This window comes from Homo sapiens, chromosome 19, assembly GCF_000001405.40.
Source record: "Homo sapiens chromosome 19, GRCh38.p14 Primary Assembly".
Taxonomy (NCBI): Eukaryota; Metazoa; Chordata; class Mammalia; order Primates; family Hominidae; genus Homo; species Homo sapiens.
Genome location: NC_000019.10, coordinates 39160426 through 39185327, shown reverse-complemented (window position 1 = coordinate 39185327; position 24902 = coordinate 39160426). Strand labels below are relative to the sequence as shown.

Genomic DNA, 24902 nt, shown 5'->3' with positions numbered 1-24902 from the left:
GAAGACACAGGCACTTCTCTGTTGGTAACTGTGGTCCCACAAGTGGGGTAGTGAAGGGAGCCCTGACCCACTTCTCAGTGCTGCATGGTGAGGATATGCAGGAACTCCCAGGCCCGATGCCAGGATTCGAATCCTGCCTCTATCACTTTCTGGCTCTGTGACCTCAGGTTGACATCTTTGTTCCTGTCTCTCATCTGTGAAACAGGCCAAGGAAGGTACAGTAGTTCCGCAGAAGGCGGCTACGAGGGTCATGTTTCCTGGGCTGCGATCACAAATTCCCAGCGTGGTGGCTTGAAACAGCAGCCATGTATTCTCTCAGTTCTGGTTTGTTGTTGTTGTTGTTGTTTTGAGGACGAGTCTCGCTCTGTTGCCCAGGCTGGAGTGCAGTGGTGCGATCTCGGCTCACTGCAATCTCTGCCTCCCAGGTTCAAGCAATTCTCCTGCCTCTGCCTCCTGAGTAGCTGGGATTACAGGTGCCCACCACCACACCCGGCTAATTTTTGTGTTTTTAGTAGAGACAGGTTTTCGCCATGTTGGCCAGGCTGGTTTCGAACTCCTGGCCTCAAGTGATTCACCTGCCTTGGCCTCCCAAAGTGTTGGGATTACAGGCGTGAGCCTCCATGCCTGGCTGTATTCTCTCAGTTCTGGAAGCCGAAGTCTGAAGTGCAGGTGTGGACAGGGCTCTCCTCCCTCTGAAGCCTTCAGGACAGATTGCTTCCTGGCCCCTTCTGGCTTCTCCTGGAAGGCCCCTGGCTTTTCCTGACTCATGGCTGCTTCTCTGTGTGCCCCAAATCTCCTCTGCATTTCTCTAAAGGACACTTTTCAGTAGATAAGAGCCCACCCGGATACACCAGGGTGACCTCATTTCCAGATCCTTAACTCAGGACACATCTGCAAAGACCCTTTTCCCAAATAAGGCCACACTCACAGATTTTCCGTGGACCTATCTTTTTTTGTGAGTGGGGGGGAATCTATTTTTTTTTTTGGTGGGGGGAACCTTTTCCTTGGGGGGTGGTAACCACTACAGGAGTTAAATGGCGCAAAACTAGGAGCTTAGCAAAGCCCCTGAACACAGCCAGACTTCGATCAATGTTTTTTGTTTTTGAGATGGAGTTTCGCTCGTTGCCCAGGCTGGTGTGCAATGGCACGATCTTGGCTCACTGCAACCTCCACCTCCCAGGTTCAAGCAGTTCTCCTGCCTCAGCCTCCCGAGTAGCTGGGATTACAAGCGCCCGCCACCATGCGTGGCTAATTTTTGTATTCTTAGTAGAGACGGGGTTTCACCATGTCGGCCAGGCTGGTCTGGAACTCCTAAACTCAGGTGATCCACCCACCTCTGCCTCCCAAAGTGCTGGGATTACAGGTGTGAGCCACCTTGCCCAGCCCATTCTCCCATTCTCAATCCTGGCTGTATGTTAGGATCACCTGGCTTATTTTTATATTAAATACCTGTGACCAGGCCCCAAGCCACACAAAAGGGAGTTCCCCTTTGCTTAGAGAACCAAGCCTCAGTGTGGCCTTCAAGGCCTTCATTTCTCCCAAGATCTGCAGTTCATTCATTCTTTCCCTCACCCCTCTCCCTCCCCAGTGGCAGCCATGCTAATATGCAAATGAGTCTCCTAACCTTGCAAAATGAGGACCATTGTTTTATGTCCATAATTTGCTATTTATACACCCAGCCTTGTATTATGAATCTTATTATTGTTTTTCTTACCTGCTGTCTGGACAGGAATTTTGGGGGTGCACCCCTTCTGTTTAGCCACCCACTCCCCTGGGGTGGACATGCCCCTGCCTCCAGCTCCACCCCACAAATAATGCTACAGTGAACGTCCTCATCGACTCTTCCTCAGGTCCAGAGAGTTTCTTTGGGAAGTCACCCGGGTGTGACTATTGGAATCATTGGGAGATACATATGTGCAACACTTGACTAAGCTGGATCTGTTTTTATCAGACTCATGGTGTAAAATACCGCCGCACGGTTTGAACGTGCATGTCTCTGATGACTAACGAGTTTGAGCAGCTGTGAACACCCTTACTGGGCTTTGAGTTCTTTCTTCTCTAAATTGCCTGTTCATATCCTTTGCCCATTGTCCTGTTATGGCTGGTCTCTTTTTCTTGTTAAGAAGATATCTTATCAGTGCTAGACTCTGCAAATATTTTTCCCCATTCTGATACCTATTACAAATGAAAATTATTTTTTTTTTGAGATGGAGTTTTGCTCTTGTTGCCCAGGCTGGAGTGCAGTGGCGTGATCTCAGCTCACTGCAACCTCCAACTCCCGGATTCAAGCAATCCGCCTGCCTCAGCCTCCCAAATAGGTGGGATTACAGGCACCCGCCACCATGCCTGGCTAATTTTTTTGTATTTTTACTAGAGATAGGGTTTCACCATGGTGGCCAGGCTGGTCCTGAACTCCTGACCTCAGGTGATCTGCCCACCTCGGCCTCACAAACTGCTGGGATTACAGGTGTAAGCCACCGTACCTGTTGTTTTTTGTCTTTTTTTTTTTTTGACAGAATCTCACTCTGTCACCCAGGCTGGAGTGCAGTGATGTGATCTCAGCTCACTGAAACCTCTGCCTCCTGGGTTCAAGTGATTCTCATGCCTCAGCCACCCGAGGAGCTGGGATTACAGGCGCCCACCACCACGCCCGGCTAATTTTTGTTATTTTTAGTAGAGACAGGGTCTCACTTTGTTGCCCAGGCTGGTCTCAAACTCCTGACCTCAAGTGATCTGCCTGCCTCGGCTCCCCAAAGTGCTTGGGATTACAGGCGTGAGCCACTGCACCCGGCCCCTAGCATGATTATTAAATCTCCTGATTGTATATGAAGCCCTTGTACACATCTGGGTCTGCCTCTGGGTTCTCTGTTCTGTCACTAAATCAGAAAGTCCAGGGTGAAGCCCAGCAAATCTAATGAAAGAGCAAGAGTGGAGAATCCTGACTGCATGGTAATAGAATTTGTGTTAGACACACACAAACACTACATTTTCCAACCTCCCTTGCCTCTGGGTGAGGCTGCGTGACTAAGCTCTGGCCAGTGAAGCAATGGCAAAACCTCTGGGTCGGTCCTTAAAGAGGAGTGCCTTCCTCTCCCCGTGCCCACTTGGGAGCATAAGGAATTCTCTAATACGACATGGGAGAGGCAGGTGTCCCAGGAGGAAGGAAAAAGACGGAAGGACCCTAGGGTGCTGATGACTTGGAGTCCCACAGAGGTGGGCCTTTTACACGGGAGGGCAGTCGTGGATCGCAGGGGTTCTCAAACGTGAGTGGGCACCGGCATCCCCCGGAGGGTGTGTTAAATACAGATCACTGGGCCCCACCAGCATCTGATGCAGCTGGGGTGGCACACAGGGATTTATTTGCGTGTCCAGTAAGCTCCCAGTGATGCTGCTGGTCTGGGAACCACACTGTGAGAACCGCTGGTCTGACCTGGTTGCATTGTTTATTTTGGGGCTCTGTAAACACACCTCCAGCCCCCAGGCGGACGAATCCATCCCTGTGCCCCTCCTGGGCCTCCGGGCCCCTCCTCACCTCCGGCACCTGTCGAGAGTCATTCATTCCCGTGGAGTGCCTCAGCTGGTCAACTAAATGTGGGCAGAGTGGATCCTCTGGCACCACCCTTGTCCTAAGCACTCCCCTGTTCCGCTCCAGGCGGACGCCTGAAACATGGATCTGTAGACCCCCCGGGCCGGTGGGGTCAGGAAGGGTCTGCCAGGAGGAGGCTCCTGGGTGGGAGTCCAGGGTGGGAAGCTGGAAGAAGCCATTCTGCTCTGGCCAGACAGAGGCGAGAGTGGGGTTTGGGGAATGCCATTGGCCCCTCTGTTCCTCTAGCCACACAGGTGGCAGCAGCCTCCTTCCTCTAATGATTGCTGGGCACTTGGCACTCTGTGGCTCCTCCAGCCTTCTCAGAGCTTTGTCATGATCCAACCACCGGTACCAAATCCCTGCCATTTGAAACAACTCTAGTTGGGGTCTGTTTTCCTGACTGGCTCTGGCAGGAGGCAGCCACGTGGGGAGGAACGGGGCCTCGGGCAGCTTTCACCCCACGCCACCCAAAGCCATGCCTTCAAACTGCAGTGAGCGGGCTGGGCACGGTGGCTCACGCCTGTAATCCCAGCACTTTGCGGGGCCAAGGAGGGAGGATCCCTTGAGGCCAGGAGTTCGAAACCAGCCTAGGCAACATAGCAACATCTTGTCTCTAAAAACAAAAAACAAAAAACAAAAAAACTCAAAACAAAACAAAACAAAACAAACCTGCAGTGAGTGACTGAAGGCACCAAAACCAGCAGAGTTACCGTGGGGTCACAGATGTGGCTGGGCGAGGGAGCTCCCCGTCTCTGAGCCCGTGGTTTCTTCAGCAGGAGAGTGGAGCTCCTAGAGCTAGCTGTTCTCAGTGCCCGTGGGGTCGCCGGGCACCCTGGCTGTGAGCCTTGCGTTTCTGAGATGCTCTGTTCTTTGCCGTCCTTATCTGGGTCTGGAACCATGGTCACAGAGGCCTCCTGAGCTGCTATCTTTCTGGAACAACTTGTTCACAAGGTAGAAGGAATTACCTGCTCCTTCAAAGTCTGGTAAACCTCATTTGAGGCCAGGCATGGTGGCTCATGCCTGTAATCCCAGCACTTTGGGAGGCTGAGGTGGGTGGATCACGAGGTCAGGAGTTCAAGACCAGTCTGGCCAAGATGGCGAAATCCAGTCTCTACTCAAAATACAAAAAATTAGCCTGGCGTGGTGGCAAGCGCCTGTAATCCCAGCTACTTGGGAGGCTGAGGCAGGAGAATCGCTTGAACCCAGGAGGCAGAAGTTGCAGTGAGCCAAGATCGTGCCACTGCACTCCAGCCTGGGCGACAGAGCGATACTCCGTCTCAAAAAAAAAAAAAAAATCTCATTTGAAAGTGCATTCAAGCCTGAAACCTTTTATTTATTCTGGAGTGTGTGTGCAGTGAGGAGACAGTTATTTTGGTCTTGTTTTCTATTTCTTCTTTTGCCAATGTTAGCATTTTTTTTTTTTCCAGAAAGGCATCCACCTCACCTAAGCCTCCAATACATCGCAGAGAGCACAGCTGCTTGCACCGCTGGGTTTCACTCTGTGATGATCCATCTAGGCTGTGTTTGCACTTGGCATAGGCCCTGCCACACACACAGTGCTCTGATTCTTGGGGTCAGGACCTGTGAAGGGTGGGAGGCGTGGACTAACCTGGAATCTCTGCCCTGGCCACTCACTTCCCGAGAGGACCAGGCTGAGGTCTCTGGTGCTGATGACGCCTGGCTGGCTTTGGGGACGGAGGCTCACTCCTGGCTCTCTCCCCACTCCACTGCCTCCCTGGGGGCTGGGGAGGATGCAGAAAGTGGAGCCCAACAGGGCCTGAGGCGCAAAGTGCCAGGATGCAGCTGCAGCAGCGATGGTGGCATGGCCACCTCCATGCCAGTCAGATTCCCCCCAGCGTGGGCTCGGCTCTGGGCTCCTGCGTGGAAGGACACACTTCACAGGGTGTCTCTCCGAAGCCAGCAGCTCCAGGCCAGTCAGCCTCAGTCAATCCCCAAAAGCCCATCTGCCCACTGACCAATTTGCCAAATGGCCTTCAATTTACTAACTTGGGTTAGCTCCTACTCACCAAACGCGCTCAAGACAGCCTTTAAAAGGTTCCAGGAAATTGCAGATTTGGCAAACTGGGATCAGTCTGCACATGGACTGTGGCAAACTGGCTGCTTCCAGGGGTGGGGACAATCCTGCCCCATTCTGGGGAGTGGCAGGCTGGGGGAGCTTACTGGCTGCTATGACCTGAACTCCCCACTCCCCACCCCACCCTTGCCCTGCCTTGGCTGGAATCGTGGTTTGCTCCCAGATCCAGACCCTCTCCCTGCAAATTCCCACCCAAGACAGCCGGGCAGGGCCCCCTGCCCCCCACACATCGCACACAGACACAAAACAAGACAATGTTTTAATTGTAAAACTAACTCGAGGCAGGGGTGGGCGGGCTGGGGCTGCGCTGACCGGGCAGGAACCTGGTTCTTCAGGCAGTGGTTCTGCCAGGGCCACCCCGCAGGACAGGGACCATCTGTCCCCCAATAAGGGCAGGGGCTAGAGTGTTATAAAATGACAATATAAATAGACTTCTAGAAAAGAGGAGGCTGTCCAGGTGCAGTAGTCATTTGCTGCAGGGGCTGGAGAGGGTGGGGGGCCCTGACCTGTCTCCCCATCCAGCCACAGAAAGGGGGCGCAGGGCTACGGGAAAAGGCCACTCTTCGGACATTCATGATCGACCCCCACAATGGCTCAGGGGGAGAGGGGGCTGGGTGTCAGGCAAGGCGCCAGACACCCCTTGCAGGCTGGAGGACGGGGTGGCTGGACCTTTGCACACACACACATGCACACTCACACGCGTGCACACACTCATACATGTTCACCTCTTAGTGTTCTCTCCACCCCCAGCGACCCCCACTGCAGACTTCCAGTGATGGGAGGGCCGCTGCCCTTCCTGGAGACAGAAGAACATGGGGGAGGGCCTGTCCCAGAGGGTGGGGGTCCTGGGAGCCTCGCTTGCTCCCACGAGTCCCTGTGTTTTTCTAAAAGTCACGAGATCAAAACTGGAGTTCAGTAGTAGGGTCTCATCTACCCCCAGCAAGGAGGGTGGTGCCACGCGGAGCATCTCCCGGGCTGGGAGGAGTGGGAGGCCTGGCCCCCTACTGGCCTCAGTGGGGCGGGGGTGACCCGGGGGGCTCTTTGGTTGAGGGGAAGGGCGCTGGGCCTCATCTGGTGCGGTTCTGGCGCATGAGGGGCACGATGCTGGCAGGCGGCCCTGCCTTGGCCAGGAATGGGTGCTTCAGCAGCTCGGCTGCCGTGGCCCGCTGGGCAGGGTCTCGCACCAGCAGGCGGTCCAGGAAGCCCTTCAGGGATGGCGACACCTGTCGAGAAGGAGGGGAGGGTCAGGGGGCGAGGCTCCCCACTGTTCATTTGCTGTAGGGCTGCAGTGTCCGCCTCTGCCAAGTCGGCTGGCGGCATGTACTGTGCAGGAGGGCAGGGGGCGGAGGTCATGGGTGTCTAGATCTTGGGGTGTAGACGGGACAGGGACAGTGATGGCACCTGTGATGGCGCTTACTATGTGGCCCCAGAGGAAGTGACAAACCCTGGGGGCTCATGTACTCCCTATTTCCATGGTTTAGCAAGAAGCTGAAAGCAACTGGGGCCCAGAGGTGCCCCTTTCCCTCCTGGCAAGTCCTCCACTAGGAAGGTCCCGGCCCTGTCCTCCACTTCTAAACGTGCAAATCTCTCTAGGGCTGGGTGGGGCCCAGGGCAATGGTGAGGGTGCAGAGGGCCTGTGGCTCTGCTGCCTCTGTCGCCCAGGCCCCACAGAGGGGGTCTGCACAGACACATGAGGCCCGGGGGTGGGGGGCCCAGCACACAGTAAGCGCCATCCCAGGCGCCATCATTGTCCCCATCCCATCCACACCCCATGCTCCACCTGGAGCCCTGCCACCCGCCAGCTGGCGCACAGTTTCCCAGCCAGGGAGGGGCCTACCTTGTGCAGGTTCTTCAGTCGGGGTGGCAGGTTGTCCCGAATCATCTTCATGGCTTTGAGGGGTGGCTCGTTGAAGTAGGGGGGCTCTCCGTCCACCATCTCAATCACCATTATCCCCAGCGACCAGATGTCTACCTGGGGCGGGAGAAGGGACAGCAGGGCTGAGCTGTTGGGGGATGGTGGGTCCTGGGGAGGCCTCAGGCAGGGACCGCTCCAGCGCTGTCTCTGCCTCTGGCTCCTGGAGTCCTTGGCCCAGAACTCCCTCTTGGGCACCCAGCCAGCAGTCCACAGAGCACTAGTCCTCCAGGGAGCCCCTCAAGAGAGCTGCCCCCCCAGCACCCACCCCTCTTCTTTCTGTCAACTGCCCCCAGGTGTCCTCCCTCCCTCAGCCCAGGTAGCATCCACTGGTGGGTTCAGGACCCATGCGGCCTCATCACCACAGTGGAGACACAGTGATTGGTTCAGAAACAGGCACAGGACCCAGGCTGAGCCAATCAGAGCCAACCTGGGGACTTTACCCAAAACACCCAGGGAAAAAGAGGAGCCCATAGGTGGGAGACACTTCCCAGAGCTGCCGGGACCAGCTCTGCTCCCACAAGGGGAAAGCCGGCCTGTGAAAACAATGCTCAGAAGGCAGAGCCAAGGCTGGGCGCGGTGGCTCACATCTGTAATCCCAGCACTTTAGGAGGCCAAGGCGGATAGATCACCTGAGGTCAGGAGTTCAAGACCAACCTGGCCAACATGGTGAAACCCCCATCTCTACTAATACAAAAATTAGCCAGGCATGGTGGCGGGTGCCTGTAAAACCAGCTTCTCGGGAGGCTGAGGCAGGAGAATCGCTTGAACCCGGGAGGTGGAGGTTGCAGTGAGCTGAGATTGCACCACTGCACTCCAGCCTGGGCAACAGAGCGAGACTCCATCTCAAAAAAAAAAAAGAAGAATGAATACATGCATGCCTGCAGTACCTCCTTGTCCAGAGCACCATTCCTGGCAATGACTCCCCAGACTGGGCCCCATCTCCCGCCAGCGCTGCAGCTGGAAAATGGCAGCGTACGCTGTCCACGGCGGGACAACCAAGCCACCCCGGGGCTCACCTCTGGCCCGTAGGGAAGGCGGGAGATGAGCTCTGGGGCCATCCAGTAGGGCGTGCCGACCAGCGACTTCCTTCGGGGCACTTCCTTGCTCACCTGGGCGCAGAACCCAAAGTCTGACAGCTTCACCTGGGACAGGGCAGAGGCAGTGGGGTCAGAGGAGCTGGCACAGCAGGAGGGCGAGCAGGGGCGTCTGCCTGCGTCATTCCTTGGCTTCAGACACAATGTGCGGCCCAGAGGTCAGAGCTGGGGTCTAGGGTCAGAGCTGGGGTCTAGAGCCAGACCAATGGGGAGCTCCACCACCTCCTGGTGGGGGCCCTCGGGCAAGTCACCTCCCCCACGATCCCCCCATTTCCCTCCCTGACAGCCTCTGGGGCTTTTGGGGACACTGGCCTGAGTACTGCAGATAGCAAAGGCAGGGCCGGAGCTGGGAACAGGGGTGGCCCCAAAAGCCTGTGCCCTGGGGCCCTGCTGCCCTGGAACAAGTCTTTAGTTCGGTTGGAGCAGAAAGTAGCCCTGCACTAGGGCCGTGAGGGGACACAGCCTGCCTTTGCGACAACCAGGCCTCTCACACCTTCTTAGGAACTGTGGGTCCCTTTCCGATTTTTGAGGATTTCTATGGGTCTTCCTGCCTCCAGCAAACATCCCCACAACCGTGTGTGGACAATCTCAGGTGGCCCATAGACATCGCCCCCAAAACACATCTATAGACATCTGGAGATTTTCAGACTGTCAGTGACACAGAGCTCTCTCTGCCTCTGCCTGGACTAATGGTGTGGCTTAATCTTCCTTGGGGGAGGGGATGGAGTCATCCACTTCTGCAAGCATTTCATTCAAGTCAAGGGCCCTCTCTCACAGAAAATCATGTCCACCCGACGTTATAATTGTCACAGCCTCAGATTTGGAACCTCAGTCCAAAGCATGGAAGACAGGACTGGGGTCCATGGACCGCCCTGGGTGCTGGGCAGGGAGCAGCTTTTCAGTGGAGGAAGAAGCCTGTGGCGGGGGCTGCGCTGTCTGCCCAGATCCCTGCCCCTGGGCCCAGTGTCCTGTGCTGATGGCAGAGCCCCCGCCAGCCTGTGCCCTCCCACTGCACAGAGTCCCCACTGAGCTGGAACCTGACTCTGGGCTGCTCCACCAGGGAGGGACGAAGTTCCCAGCTCCTCAAGACACAGACCTGGGGGTCAGAGCTCACCTACCCTCACAGGGGATGGGAAGAGGCAGGGAAGCCCCGCAGCCGGAAACCTGCCGCCCCCGTACCCCGCCGCCCGTCCCCTCACCCTGCCATCATGGGTCAGCAGGATCGAGTCGCTCTTGATGTCCCGGTGGATGACGCCCTGGGCGTGGAGCACCGACAGGGCCTGCAGCACTGCAAGGCACACGGCCGCGATCTGCTCCTCGTTCATCCTGCGGGGTGGGGTGGGGGGTGAGCAGCCAGCTGGACAGCACCCCGGGGTGCCGAGGGGGACGCAGCCCTGCCTTGCAGTGGGAGGAATCTGAGACCACTCGACCCCACTCTGGAGTGGGAGGAATGGAAGACACGACCCCATCCCAGGGGCCCGGAGCACAGCTGGTTTGGAGATGTGGCCCCACCCCTAGTGGTCTGGAGGGGACTTGGTCGTGTCACAGGAGGGGTCTGAGGCCCCAGAAATACCTGGTGTGGGTGACGATGTCGGTGAGGGCGCCTCCTTCCAGGAACTCCATGACCACCCAGAGCTCGTCCCCCACCAGGTAGCTGTTGTACATCTCCACCACATTCTCGTGCTGGTAGTCCCTCATGATTACCACCTGTGCAGGGGCTGGGTCAGTGGTGGAGGGAGGCGGGAGGGCTGCCAGTGCCAGACCCAGCCACCGCCACCCCCCTGGCTCCCCCTGCAGTTCCACATTAAGCTTGTGCTCACTGGGGCCACCTGGACTGCCCTCCCCTACTGCCACAGCCACGTGGGCCTCAGAGCCAGCTTGAAGCCCACGCCTCCCTTCTGGGGGCGCGCCCCCCTGGGCACACGCCCATCTCAGGTCAGTCCTGGGCTAGTGCTGGGGGGCAGGTGGGAAGAGAGCGTTCAATCACAGGGCTGAGACCCGGACAAGGGCAAGGATGAGAGAAGAGGCGTGTGTCGGCGGGAGGATGAGGAACCCAGGCGAGGAGCTCCATGGTGCAGCCCGGCACTGTGATGGGCAACGGGGTCGAGAGGGGCCTCACACACCCGGCAAAGGGACCTGGGCTTCCTATCGTCAGGGTGCTACGGGGCACTGCCAGGGTCTCTAAGGAGGGACGGGGAGGGGGTGGGCCTGAACGTCAGAAACATACTCTTGGTGGTTGTGTGGGCTGTGCCGAGGGACACCCAGGAGTGGAGGCCAGGGCGGGGCACAGGGAACCCAGGAGGGGCAGGTCTGGAGGACACTGTACCCTGGAGCCCAGGCGGGCCTCAGTGGGTGCGAGGGGCCTGGAAGACACTGGGTCGGGGGTCAGTGGCCCGAGGAACCCTGGGTCTGGGGCTCAGGGACAGAGATGTGGGTGAGGGTGCTGTGAGGACAGAGGCAGGGACCCAGCTGGGGCGGACGAGACGGCCTGGGGAGGGAGAAGAGTGAGGGGAGGAGGGGAGCCTGGCCCAGCACGGAGGAGTGCAGGGAGAGGAGGGAGGAGGGGAGGGAGGGTGGGAGGGAGGGGTGGGAGGACCAGCAGGGCGGCAGGGCAGCAGCGCCCGCACCTCGTTGAAGAGCAGCTCGCGCCTCTGCTGCTTGCGCAGGTCCATCTTCTTGACGGCCACCAGCTTGCCCGAGCTGCGCACGGTGGCGATGCACACGATGCCCGTGGAGCCCTCGCCAATCTTGATGAAGTTGTCCAGGTAGGAGCGGGGGTCGCCTGGGTCCACCACCAGCTGCAGGGCAGCCCGGAACTGCTCATGGGATACTCGCTGTGGCTCCCGCTGTGGTGAGCGGGGGCCAGGGGGCCCAGGAACAGCAGGGGCGGCGGGGGTGCAGGCTGGAGGGGCCAGCTGGGGCTCTGAGGCGTGGGGTCCCAGCACTCCAGGGCTGGGGGCACCTCGGGCTCGGGTGGGAGGCCGGGAGGAGGAGGAGGAGGACTGGGGGATGGCCAGGCCCCCCGCTGATGGCCCGTTAGGGGCCACGTCATGAGGCTCCCCCTGAAACAGAAGAGAGGTAGCTGTCAGTGATGGGTGCCAGGGAGCAGCTCTGCTCCCTAAGCAGGAGAGAGACCCAGCGATGGGACAGACACATGGGTGGTCAGGATGAGATGCACGGTGGTGGGGCGGGGCTGGAAGGTGGGGACAGAGGAGCAACGGGCAGGGGACAGTGGGGGCCCTGGGGCGGGGGATGGGTTACCTGGGCACCCCGGGATGGGTGGTCCGTGTCAGCCCTCGGGTAGGTGTTAAAGGGCCGGCCAGCTGCCAGTTTCGCCCCACTGGCCAGACCAGCAGGCTGGGGGGTGCCGACATCAGGCCCGGAGAGGGGGCGTTTGTCCCGGGAGGACTCCTGGGGACCCCCTGAGCCCTCCCTGGAAGACTTGGGCCTCTTCTCTGGCCCCGCCCGTCGCCTGTCACCACTGCCGCCACCCGCCTCGCTGTGACCGGCGAACCGGCCTCGGCTGCCTGCCTTCCCTGGGCCCCCTCTGGCCGTGGTGGCCGGCTCCTCTGGCATCCCATTTTCCTGGCGGGCACGGGCGGGCGGCGGCGGGCTGTCTCTCCGCAGGGAGTTGGAGCGTGTCACCGACATGTTCTCAAACTCGTCCAGCAGCAGCGTGAGGGCCCCATCTTTGGCACCTTTGCTGCCCCGCACGATGGTCTGGGGTCCCAGGCAATGGTGGGTGGGGGCCCAGCAAGGAGTGGGGCACACAGGACGTGCATCCGACACGCAGGGACAGGACAGCACGACACACACAGAGACAAGACAGAGACGCAATGAAGAGATGCCATGGAGTGACAATGGCATGGGCAGTGCAGCCCCTCCCCTCCCTGGGGACACAGCTGCAGGGGCCAGAGGAGTGATCGCCATGGCCAGGCTGCTGCCCCCTGGGCTCGGTGGGACCCTGGAGAGGCCCCCCTTGTTTTTCTCCTGTTCCTCACACTGGTGGAATAGTCCTGCCCTGAGGGGTTTGGGGGAGGAAGGGCAGAAATTGACCCACCCCATAATCAGCCCCGAGGGCTGCAAATGACAGGGCGCTGGGGCCAGGGCCTGGCCTGGCACTTCCTCCCATGTGGGCGCCAGTGTTCCTTAGCCCCAAAACCACACTCTCTGCTCCCATGAACAACAAGGAGTGGGGGACAGGGAGAGTCAGAAAGGCCTGGTCCCAAAGTAGAGGGCAAGGGGGTCCCAGGAGCCGGGTGGCAAATGCAAATGCAGATGGGGACCAGGCAGAGCATCCAGTGCATCCCGAGTCACCCGGTCCCCACCCTCTGTGGTCTGAGTCGTGTCCTGCAGGCCCCCTCTGCCCCCGTTCCATTTCCAGACACACGGGTGTCTCCCCCACCCCCGCCCCCCTGCGCCCAGGGCCTCTCCGCTGGCGGCTCCCTCTGCCTGGAACATCAGCTCTCAGGGTCCCTGTGGCTCCCTCCCTCCACTCCTTCAGGTCTTTGCTCAAAACTCAGCTTCTCAGTGAGGCTTCTGCTGGCCTCCCATCATCTAAAATGCCAGCCCCTGCCCTCCCCGGCCCCTGCCCTGCCTGCATTCTACCTAGAGCACCTAACAGCAGCTGATACAGAGCACACAGGCATCTGTCTGCTCCCGGCTCTGCCTAGTGCATGCTCTGGGCAGGGATTGTTTTTTCCTGTCTGCTTCGGGTCCTGCTCCATCTCAGCACCTAGACCAGCATCTGGCGCACAGCAGGGGCTCAGTGAACTTTTGCTAAACCACGTAGTGAGTGAGGTGTCTGTGCAAAGGCCACAGTGAGCTGAGAACGTGGGCCCTGCTGACAAGGACCCTGCCCGGGGCTGCCAGATGTCCTCCAGCCGGAGGCCTGCCTCTAATGTGTGGAAAACACTGATCCCACGAAACCCGGACCCTGCCTGGGGCTGCCAGGCATCCTCCAGCCAGAGGCCTGCCTGTAACGTGTAGAAAACACTGATCCCACAAAATCCGTGGTCTGCCGCTGCCCTGTCTCTCCTGGCCGTGGCTGTCTGCCTGAAGCCGGGCCTTGCCCAGGGGCCCCAGGAAGTCAAGGTGGACACAAGGCCAGACTTTGCTGTTAGAACAGGGCGTTGAGGCAAGAAGCAGTGGCTCACGCCTATAATCCCAGCACCTCGGGAGGCTGAGGATCACCTGAGGTCAGGAGTTTGAGACCAGCCTGGCCAAAATGGCGAAAACCCGTCTCTACTAAAAATACAAAAATTAGATGGGCATAGTGGTGGGCGCCTGTAATCCCAGCTACGCGGGAGGCTGAGGCAGGAAAATCGCTTGAACCCAGGAGGCGAAGGTTGCATGAGCCGAGGTGGCGCCACTGCACTCCAGCCAGGGAGACAGAGCAGGAATGTCTCTCAAAAAAAAAAAAAAAAAAACCAACAGGGAGTCGAGAAGGTCCTGGGAGGCCTGAGGCCCGGTCAAGGGCAGCAAACACAAGTGCCTATGGGGCCCCAGGACAGTGCTGGCCACAAGGCCCCATGTGTGAATTCAAGTGCCCTGCCTCCTGCTGGGACAGTCACAGGCAGGCCTCACATCTGGCAAGCCAGGCAGGGGCTGGGTTTTTGGAGACACCTTGGTGGGGGCAAAGCCTACATGCAAGTGGCCACAGAGCCAGGCAGGGCGTGGAGCTGAGGTGGGTCGGGTGCGGCCTGTGGCCCAGAAGAGCCAGTGCCCTGCCCGTGGAGGCAGCTGCCACTCGCCTCCAGCTGGTCTGTCACCAGATGCCAGAAACGGCTTTGGAAGTGAAGTCTGTCACTTTCTCAGTGGAGGCAAAGAAGTCAAAGCATTCAAAAGCACCCTGCAAGGACCACACGGACCCCTCAGTGGGCTACCACATTGAGGCTGCACTTGTGTCTATGGCCAACTTGTGGGCCTTGGGGCTTCTCCCCGCCAGGCTGGGCTGGGCACCGGGAGGGTGAGTCCCCAGGCACACCCATCTCCACCCGCTGGATGCAAACCTGGCCGAGTTCCCCTTGGCCTGCGGCCCCTCCTGGTCCCCACTGACCATGGGAGAGAGTCCAGGCTCCAAGGCTGGCTTCAGAGGCCCAGCACGGGCTCAGGCCAGGCCAGCCTCATGCCAGGCCACACCCAGACACCGGCTCCACAACTCTTATGATTTCACATGGAGGCAGCAGAGGGGTTAAGAGCACGGGCCTTGGAAACAGACATTGGTTCAAATCCCAACCTTGCCATTTTGCTCTAGATGGCAGGAAGAAAAAAAAAAACCCAAAACCAAAAAGCCCCCAGCGTTTCACAGGAGTGATTTTCTCCACTAAAGCCCGGCTTCCCCAGCATCTGCTGGAATTTCTCCTCCTCCTCCTCAGCCCTGGGCTCTGCCTCGGTGTCCCCTCCTCCCAGAAGCTTGCCTGGACCCCTGGTCTGTGTCAGGTGCCTCCTCCGGGCTCCCCCACCCAAGCCCTGACCACTTGGGGCTGTCACCCTCTGGGAATGGGTCTGTCTTCCACTGCCAGGAGCTCTGGAAAGGCTCAAGGTTGGGTGAGACAGGAGTGTGGTCCGGGGTACAGCAGCATGGCCCCCGGGACATGAGTCTGCGGGAGACAGCAGAGCTTGGAGGCTGGTGTGGGGGCTGTCAGATGGGCCGTGGGGGAGGCTCAGGTTGGGGTGGCATGGGTTCTTAGGACTTGGAGCCAGTGGGTGGAGGGTGAAAGGCCAGCACTGGACCCAGGATAGGGGTGGAAGGCTGGGGTTTGTCTCCATTTCCATGTCAGTGAGGAGGTGTCGGTCACAGGGTCGAGTGTGGGGTTGAGGGCCAGGGCCACTCGGGGGTTGGGGTGGGCTGGGGGAGGTGGTGGTGGGTGCCACATACCTTGGGGGCCCCGGGCTGGATGGAGGTGATGCAGGCGGGGTCGACGAGGGGCTTGGGCCGGCGAGCCGACTCCTCGATCAGGCTCTGCCACTGGCGGGGCAGCCCCGTGAACTTCTGCTCGTGCTGGTCGAAGCCCGTGTGCACGCGGTGCTCGAAGTTGGACGGCGCGGAGATCTCCACCCGCTTCTTCCTCTTCCCAAACATGGTGCCGGGGACTCGGTGCGGCCTGCGGGAGGGAATCACGGTGGGTGAGTGAGAGCCTGCCCATGTCTCTTCCTCCTCTGCCCCTGCTCTGTCCCTCCCATCCTCATCTTACACCGGGACCAACAGGAGGCAGTAGCCTCCTTCTGGGTCTCCCTGCCCACCCCCTGCGCCCATCTGTGTGGCACACACAGCCAGAGGGTACCCGTGAGCACCCGAGCGGTCACGTCCCTCTGCTCAGAACTTTCCTGCCGCTCTGTCTCCTGCGGGCCCACAAGGCCCCATCACCTCTCTGTTCTCACCCCCCCTGGAGACCTCAGAGCCTTTGCACGGGCTGGCCCCTCTGCCAGGAGCTCACTTCCCAGTGTCTGCACAGGGCTCCCCGTCCCCTCCTTCAGTTCTCAGAGCAGCAGTGACTCCTTTCCTGACCACCCCAAGGCAAAGAGCCCCGTGTCCCGCCGTCCCCCCGCTCTACATCACAGTCACAGCCCGGAACTCATGGAAATCCTGTTTGTTGTTCCTTCTTAGGTTCATGAGTGCAGCATCCACACCGCACCGCTAGAGTGTCAGTGCCACATTCTGGCTGGGTCTCGTCTGCCCCGCTTCCCCACATCCCCTGCTATGCCTGGTACATGGTGTGTACTGGATGGACGGTCACTGATGGCCTGGCCACTGCCACTGGTCCAGCCATGAGTCTGGGCTGGGGACGCCCACACCTTTGGATATTGACTCAGCACAGGGTTACTGATCCCCTGGGTTAAGAGGGCACCCCAGGCAGCCTTGTCGCGACACTCCCCTATCTTTAGGATCTGTGGTCTTCAATCGGGCCCTTGACACAGTACCAAGCACAGAGCAAATGGTCGACCAAAGCCACTTTAAAAAACAAAGGGGCTGAGGAAGAGACATTCTGATGGCGGCATCCCATAGAGAGCCTGGAGAAAGATGGGAGGGGGAGCCAAGAGGCCAGAGTTCGACTCTCCATCACATGCTGCCGTGACCTTGGGCAGGTGACAACCTCTCTGTGCTGTGGATGAACCCCCACAGGGCTGCTGCGAGGGGTAATGGGTGACTGGGAGCAAAGAGCTTGGTGCAGGGCTGGGCAAATATGGGGGGCCTATCGGTGGGGACCACTGTGATGGCTGGGGCGGCTCCCACAGTGCCTGTGGGAGGAGGGGCCCAGGTCCTGCTCCCCCCTAAGGCCCCACCCCAGCTGCCCCGGGCCTGGGCCCTGGAGTCGCACACACCTGCACACACCTGGTCTGATGCTGGTGGGACAGAAGTGCCCTCAGGCAGGTGACCACTCCTCTAGGGGCTTCGGGTTACTCATCTGTAAAATGAGAGGAATGCATCCATTCACTCACTCATTCATTCATTCATTTGGGAATAACTCAGCAATGGGCCTCCTCTGTGGCCACTGCAGTGACCCAGACAGCCTTTGACCTCATGGGAAATTCGTGTGGGGCAGACAGACCTGTCCCCATGCAGCAGCTGCCCAGGGTGGTCAGGGCTGGGGGACGGGAGCACGGGACCCAGTCTGGAGGGACGCGGGGTGGGCAGCAGGAAGGCTTCCAGGAAGAGGGGAAGAGTTGAGACCAGGGGACGAGGGGACATGCAGGTGGAGTTTCTGTTCTGTCTTGTCCCAGCTGGCTCCCCCGCGCCTGGCACAGCGCGTGGCACAGCAAGTCCTGTAGCCCTAGTGAGAGGACAGAGGACGCGCAGATGCACGTAGCCCCTCCACACCTACTTCTCCTCCCGGCTCAGGCTGCCTTCCTGGGAGCAGCTGGGAAAGGTGAGGCCCTGCCCAGAGCTAGGACCATCCATGGGAGCCAGCCAGGGGAACCGGTTTGGCAGCGGGAGCCCCGTGGGAGGGGGGTGGGGGCCCGGCAGCCAACCTGTCTCAGCTGGTCCCAAGAGGCCAGCGGGTGGTCAGAGCCGGGCCTGGCCAAGGCTCCCAGGGTTGGCCCAGTTTCCCTGCTTGCCCTGGGGCCCAGGATGGAGGGCGGACGGGGGGCCTCCTTTGTCTCTGCCCAGCCCCTTCTCTGAGCCCAATGCTGGCGCCCTGAGTGCTGCCCACCCCTCCCTCGTGGCCTTCCAGCCCAGCCCACCCCTGGTGGCCCTGACCTACTCTCTCATGGCTTTCTAGGCCCAGCTCCCAGGGTCATCCACATACCCCAACAGTCCCCATTTGCCCACTCTGCCTGCTGTCATTCCAGATCTGCGTCCCATGTCCTCCGGCCTCTCCGTCCTCCCAGATGTCCCTCCACCCCCTTTGGCCCCATGCCCAGCCCAGGCCTCTTCATCGTGAACCTGTCGCCCCGCCCCATCCCGCTCCCTCCCCACTGCGGGGCACTAGGCAGTTCCCAGAGCCACGGGAAGAGGATCAGCCATGTGACCCCTCACTAAGCCCGGAGGGCGGACAGCGGGGCAGACCCTGAGGTGGGGGACACCTGGGGACGGGGCAAGAGCAGCCTGGAGGGCGGGCGGCTGGCCCAGCTGGCAGCATGGGGTCTGGGGGATGTCCTCCGACGCCTGGCCTCCTGCCCTCCCACCCATAAACCCCCAAGGGAAGGGGGCAAGGGGCACGCCTCCGGATATTTGCCTGGGGCCACCCCTTCCCTCTGGGCACTGCACAGAGGGCAGGACAAACAGAGGAACTGAACATGTTTATAATGACCAGGCAGGGACCCCACCCTGGGCCGTCCTGTGCAGCTCCAAGCCCTGCCGGCTTCCCCAGCAGGCGCTCCCTTCCCAACAGATGCTCCTGACCTCATGGGGGCCACAGAGGCCGTGCCAGGCCTGGGAAGAGGGAGAAGAGCTAGGCAGAAAGGCTGGGCTTGCCCAGGTGCAGGGAGGGAAGGGTGGGGGCTGGGCTCCCAGGCCAGCTCCAAGCTTGGCAGTCAGGCTGCCTAGGGCTCCAAACCCCAGCAGGGCTGCCACGACTGGCCCTATATGACCTCACTTTCTGTGTCTGTGAACTGGAGCTCTAACCCAACCTGGGGACCTCAATATGTGGCCCTGGGTGAGCAACTCAGCCACGCTGTGCCTCAGTTTCCTCCTCTGTTCAAAGACGGCGATAATAGTAGCTGCTTCGTGGAGTATTTATTTATTTATTTTAAACGGAGTCTTGCTCTGTCGCCCAGGCTGGAGTGCAGTGGTGCGATCTTGGCTCACTGCAACCTCCGCCTCCCGGCTTCAAGCAATTCTCCTGCCTCAGCCTCCCAAGTAGCTGGGATTACAGGCGCCTGCCACCACGCCCAGCTAATTTTTGTATTTTTAGTAGAGATGGGGTTTCACCATGTTGGCCAGGCTGGTCTGACCTCTAGTGATCTGCCTTGGCTTCCCAAAGTGTTAGGATTACAGGCGTGAGCCCTGCGCCTGGCCTTCCTGGAGTTTTTATAAGGAATTACGCAGAACAGAGGGCACGGAGGGCCTGGCCCAGAGACAGTGGTTGGGATCAGAACCAAGGCAAATCACACACACAGTAAGTGCTCAGTAAGTGCCGGTCACCATTCCAATAGCAGCCAGCACTTACTGAGTACCTACTGTATACCAGCCCTCTTCCAGGCACTTTACCCGGAGTCCCACATATGATCCTGGAGGGAGGGGCCATTAATAAGCCCCGGATTACAGACAGGGAAAACAAGGCACAGAGGGGGACCTCATTAACCCAGGTGGCCCAGCTAGGGTGGCAGAGTGGACACCAGACTCCAGGCCTGTCTGCAGAGATTCGCGGGTTCCGGCCCTGCTGTGCGTCTAATCCCGTTCCATCCTCACAAGCATCCTCATCCCAATTCATGAATGGGAAAACTGAGGCCCAGAGAAGGGAAGGCCCTTGTCCAGGGCATGGACAGGAGAAGCAGCCAGTGAGAGGCAGACATGAGAAGCAGCCAGGATTTGAACCTGGGCGGTTGTGTATGGAAGGCACTGAAGGCTGGGCTCTTACCTGCCTGTCCTGCTGCCCTGGAGGGCTGAGGTGACACTGTTGGTTTTGTCTATTATTATTTTATTTATTTATTTATTTATTTATTTATTTATTTATTTTGAGAGGGAGTCTTGCTCTGTCGCCCAGGCTGGAGTGCAGTGGTGCAATCTCAGCTCACTGCAACCTCCGCCTCCCGGGTTTGCGCCATTCTCCTGCCTCAGCCTCCCCAGTAGCTGGGACTATAGGTGCCCACCACCATGCCCGGCTAATTTTTTTTTTTTTTTTTTTGTATTTTTAGTAGAGATGGGGTTTCACTGTGTTAGGCAGGATGGTCTCGATCTCCTGACCTCATGATCCACCTGCCTCGGCCTTCCAAAATGCTGGGATTACAGGCGTGAGCCACCGCGCCCGGCCTTATTATTATTATTATTATTATTATCATCATCATCATCATCCTCTCAAGGCTGGTCCTGGCCTCCCCTCTCCCTCCGTTCCCATTCTTTCTGTCTACACCCAGACCTTGCCTTTCCTCTCCTGCCTAGTCTCTGCTGAGTGAGGGTCCCTCCCTCCTGTGTGACCTGTCCTGGACCCCACGGGTAGTGGGAGGAAGCACAAAGTGGGCCCCGGGGCCCCCACCTCCCCAATGGCTGTACACCAGCCTTTCCCATGGGCCTGTGCAGCAGGAAAGATGCTTAAAACCAACCCCTCCCACCAAATGTGGCCTGAGGCTCAGCTCGGTACTCCCACCACCATCGCCACCACCACAAGGGACCCATGGCCCAGAGCAGACGCTGACGCTGAGCTCGCAGGCGCCCTCAACCACGGTGGAGTGGCCATTCTGAGCCCCATTTTGCAGCTGTGGAAACAGAGACTCACAAAGGTAAAATCTCTCACTAAGCTCACCGAGCAGAGCTGGGCCTGGAAGCCAGAGTCCTGCCCATTCCAGAGTCCTGCCCACTCCAGAGTTCACAGCCTTAAACCCTTTGCTGGCCCCCAAAATGCCTCCTCGTGGCCTGAGAGTCCCCACAGGATGCGCCCATCACCATGCTGCCCTCCTCTTCTCCCAAGCACCCCTGTACTCACTGTGCCCTGGCCACACAGGTCCCCCTGCTGTTCCTCAAATCCTAGACATGGTTCCACCTCAGGGCCTTTGCATGGGCGAGTGCCCCACCTGGAACTCTCCTCTCACTGATCTCCCACCTTCCCTGACTTCCCAGGCCCGCCTGTGCTCACAAGCCCTGCTCCTGTCCTGTCGCCCTCTACACCTGTCTCTGCTTTATCTTTCCTCAGGGCTCTTACCACATATATGGCGTGCTTGTGTGTGTGTGTATAATTCTTTTTTTTTTTTTTTTTTTTTGAGACAGAGTTTCACTCTTGTTGCCCAGGCTGGAGTGCAATGGCATGATCTTGGCTCACTGCAACCTCCGCCTAGTGGGTTCATGTGCTTCTCCTGCCTCAGCCTCCCAAGAAGCTGGGATTACAGGCGTCCGCCACCATACCCGGCTAATTTATGTATTCTTAGTAGAGATGGGGTTTTACCATGTTGGCCAGGCTGGTCTTGAACTCCTCACCTCAGGTGATCCACCTGCCTCAGCCTCCCAAAGTGTTGGGATTACAGGCGTGAGCCACCGGGCCCAGCCATATGTGTAATTCTTTAGCATCTGCCTCTCCCTTAGAATGTGTCAGCTTCACAGGGCAGGGACTGTCCTCTGTCTTACCCCCTCGTAGCCCAGGGCAGCACACAGTAGGGACTCCGTGGAATGATCGTCCCTGTCCGCTGCATTATTCCCCTGCTCAGAGGCCTTGGACAAGGCCCAGCAGCACCCGGGAAATCTTTCAGATAAGCAGCTGGGACCTGGGGGCAGTAGTCCCAGAGCAGCAGGAAGGTGCAGCCTTCTGCCCCAGCCGGGGCACAGATGCCTCTGAAGTCCAGTATTTGATCCCAGAAATGCAAGCGCATTTTGTATCCTACTCTAAAATGTTTATTTCAAATTTTAAAAAATCTTTTGAATTCTTTAACATGCGGGACAGGCAGCGTTGACCTGGCCTAGCAGACACTTCAGATTTTCCAGTCACCCCCTGCATCCTCTGACCTTTTCTGGGAGGAAAAGGGTCCCACCACCCCCATTCTCCCCCACAAGGTTAACTGGCCCAAATGGAAAAGCAAGATCCACCGTGCGACAAAGCTGTCAGTGTCAGCAGACGTGAGCGTGCAAAAACCCTTACCTCCTGCCCCGCCCCCTCCAGGCTCTGATCAAAGCTGCTGCCCCTGGAAGGGAGGGGGCTGGCCCACCCAGAACACAGGGGCCCAGGGGCAGAGCAGGGGAGGTGGCCAGGACCACAGGCATCCTTTCATCGTTACCAAAATGAAACTCGAATCAGGAAGGGGACCCAGACCGCTCACTGCCTCCAGCCTGCACTCAGCCTTCCACCATTGGGTCCCACTCACCACCCTGCCACAATCTTCACCTACCAGCTCTGGGAGGGCCCCTCCCTGCCTCAGTTTACCTCCTACCTTCTGGCATGTGCTTTGATGGTGGAGGCGCTGGGAGTTTGGCTTCCCGTCCCGGCACAGCAGGCTCCTCGCTGTCCTGAGTCCCCCAAGCCATTCCTGCCTCCAAACCTTGGCTTAGCTCTTGCCCCCATCCTGCACGGCCCCCAACCCTCCTCTAACCACATCTCTCTTCAGGCCTCCCACACTGAGCCTCGTTCCTCCAAGGAGTCCTCAGGTTTGGGACCGACACATCCCCAGAGTCTGCCTTAGCAAACACCTACTCCACCCACAAGTGACCCGATCACACCCACCCACGCATCGACCCACGCACCCGTCCATGTCTACCAAGGGCTGACTCTGCTGGGCCTGGGGCCCATAGCAGTGCACCCAACAGTCAGAAACATCCCTGTCCTCGCAGCACTCACATTCTAGAAGGAAGGAGGCAGTCAATGTATGAGATAAATCAGAAAAACATCTACTAAGTCGGGTGAGAAATGCTGACATAGAAAATAACGCAGCAATCAGAAAGGAGCTGAGGGGAGGGGAGGCTGGAATTCTCAATAAAGTGGTCAAGGCCGGGCACGGTGGTTCACGCCTGTAATCCCAGCACTTTGGGAGGCCAAGGAGGGAGGATCGCTTGAGCCCAGGAGTTCAAGATCAGCTTGGGCAACCTAGTGAGACCCTGTCTCTACCCCAAAAATAAAAAATAAATAAAAATTTAGCCAGGTGTGGTGGTGTGCGCCTGTGGTCCCAGCTACTGAGGAGGCTGAGGCGGGAGAATCACCCGAGCCTGGGAGGTCGAGGCTGCAGTGAGTGATCGTGCCACTGCACTCCAGCCTAGGTGACAGGGTGAGACCTTGTCTCAAAAATAAGAATAACAGGCTGGGTGCAGTGGCTTATGCCTGTAATCCCAGAACTTTTGGAGGCCAAGGCAGGCAGATCACTTGAGGTCAGAAGTTGGAGACCAGCCTGGCCAACATGGTGAAATCCCATCTCCACTAAAAATACAAAAAATTAGCCTGGCGTGGTGGCAGGCGCCTGTAGTCCCAGCTACTTGGGAGGCTGAGGCAGGAGAATCGCTTGAACCTGGGAGGTGGAAGTTGCAGCGAGCCAAGATCGCACCATTGCACTCCAGCCTGGGCGACAGAGTGTGAGACTCCATCTCAAAATAATAATAATAACTATTATTATAAAATAAAGTGGTCAGGCAGGCCTTGCTGAGAAGGGGACACGTGAGCAGGGACCTGCGTGAGGAGGGGAGAGGGAGCCATGTAGGGCTCTGGAGGAAGGGCAGCCCAGGAGGAAGGAACAGCCAGGGCGGTAGGAATTTGCTTGATATGGTCAAGGGACAGCGAGGAGGCCACGTGGCTGGAGCAGGGTGGGCGAGGGGGCAAGTGGAAGGACAGGCCAAGGAGGTAATGGGGCAGATCGTGTGGGGCTTTGGGGGCCACCGGGAGGGCCTGGTCCTTTCCCGAGTGAGACGGAGTTGCAGGGGTCTCTGAGCCCAGGAGGGCCACCGCCTGACTCAGGAGTTCACAGGCTCCCACTGGCTGGGAACAGTCTGTGGGGGCAGAACGGAAAGGGGGACCAGGGAGGAGGAGGCTGTGATGGCCCAGTGGAAATCAAGGGGGCAGGACCTTGTGGGGGCTGCAGAGGGGGCGGCATGAGCAGGTTCTGGGCACACTGTAAAGGTGGAGGTGGCAGGACTGGCCGAGGGCTGCAGCGTGAGCTCATAGGCAGGGGCTTGGCCTGGTCTTGCTCCATGTGGCACCCCCAGCACCTGGCGCGGAGCCTGGCGCAGTCAGCCTAGGTCCGTTCCCTCCAGGGCCCTCAGCGTTGCCTCACACATTACAGTTGTTTGCCTGTCTGTGGCCATCTTCCTCGCTAAGTCAGTGACTCATATGGACAGGGACCGCGTTTTGGTTCATGATGGCTGCATTTCAGTGCCTACAGCAGGGCGTGGACTCACAAGGGCTCCCCTTCGTGGCTGTGGACTTGCCCAGGCTGTGCCAGGCACACAGACCAGGCCACGCGGAGCCCTCTAAACAGTGCTGGGTGCTGGGTGGGGAGTCCTCTTCCTTCCTGTTCCCCAAACCAGGAAACTGAGGCCGAGAGGGGAACTCACTGCCCAGGGCTATCCAGTGCCAGGTCACAAAAGCAGCCACTCTGTCCCACAGAGAAGGCAAGTCAACATCCCCCAGCCTCCTGTTCCCCAGTGGTCCCGGCTCCAGCCAAGGCCTCCACTCTAAAGAAAGGACCTTGGAGGTTTATGGGACAAAAACAGGAAGGGACAATGTCCCTGACAATGACCAGACCAAGACCAGAAAAGCCACCGTGGTTAGAAGGGAATCTGAAGACATTACACAAATGTACACACACAGTTCTACAGGGCTTCCCACTTTGGCTCAAACACTGATTCAACACGGCCCTGACTGGGAGGGCCCTGCCAACCTCGCAAACCTCATCTCCTCCCCTCGCTTCTCTCCAGCCGCGCTGGCTGCCTCCGTGTATGTCTTGGACTCATCACAGCTGTTCCAGCCTCCGGGCCTCTGCACCTATCTTCCCTCAGCCAGAACTGCACTGCTCAGCCTTTCTTGATATTCAGGTCTTAGTGCAAATAAAACCTCCTCCGAGAGGCTGCCTGACCCCTGAACAAAATGTGCACCTCGCTTTTTATGTCTCTGTGGCACTTACCACCCCCTGGCATCCTACACC

General features: G+C 58.7%; 1 protein-coding gene across 17 annotated transcripts in view; it reads right to left on the bottom strand.

The window, feature by feature from the left end:
• PAK4 (p21 (RAC1) activated kinase 4) overlaps nt 2512–24902 on the bottom strand; it is a 57031-nt gene continuing 34640 nt past the window's right edge. For 2 of the 17 annotated variants that reach the window (XM_011526316.2, XM_047438034.1), the window contains exons 2-10: nt 17016–17098; nt 15571–15796; nt 11952–12410; nt 11318–11752; nt 10264–10397; nt 9890–10016; nt 8613–8738; nt 7519–7653; nt 2512–6904 (exon numbers count right to left, since the gene is read on the bottom strand). In XM_011526316.2, the coding sequence (XP_011524618.1) occupies nt 6749–6904; nt 7519–7653; nt 8613–8738; nt 9890–10016; nt 10264–10397; nt 11318–11752; nt 11952–12410; nt 15571–15774 (1776 nt within the window). In that variant the 5' untranslated portion in view covers nt 15775–15796; nt 17016–17098 and the 3' untranslated portion in view covers nt 2512–6748. Of the gene's footprint in view, nt 6905–7518; nt 7654–8612; nt 8739–9889; nt 10017–10263; nt 10398–11317; nt 11753–11951; nt 12411–15570; nt 15797–16487; nt 16704–17015; nt 17099–17242; nt 17465–17941; nt 18022–24902 lie in introns of those variants that run through there. The other 15 variants (XM_011526320.2, XM_024451314.2, NM_001014835.2 and 12 more) reach the window with 13 other exon arrangements.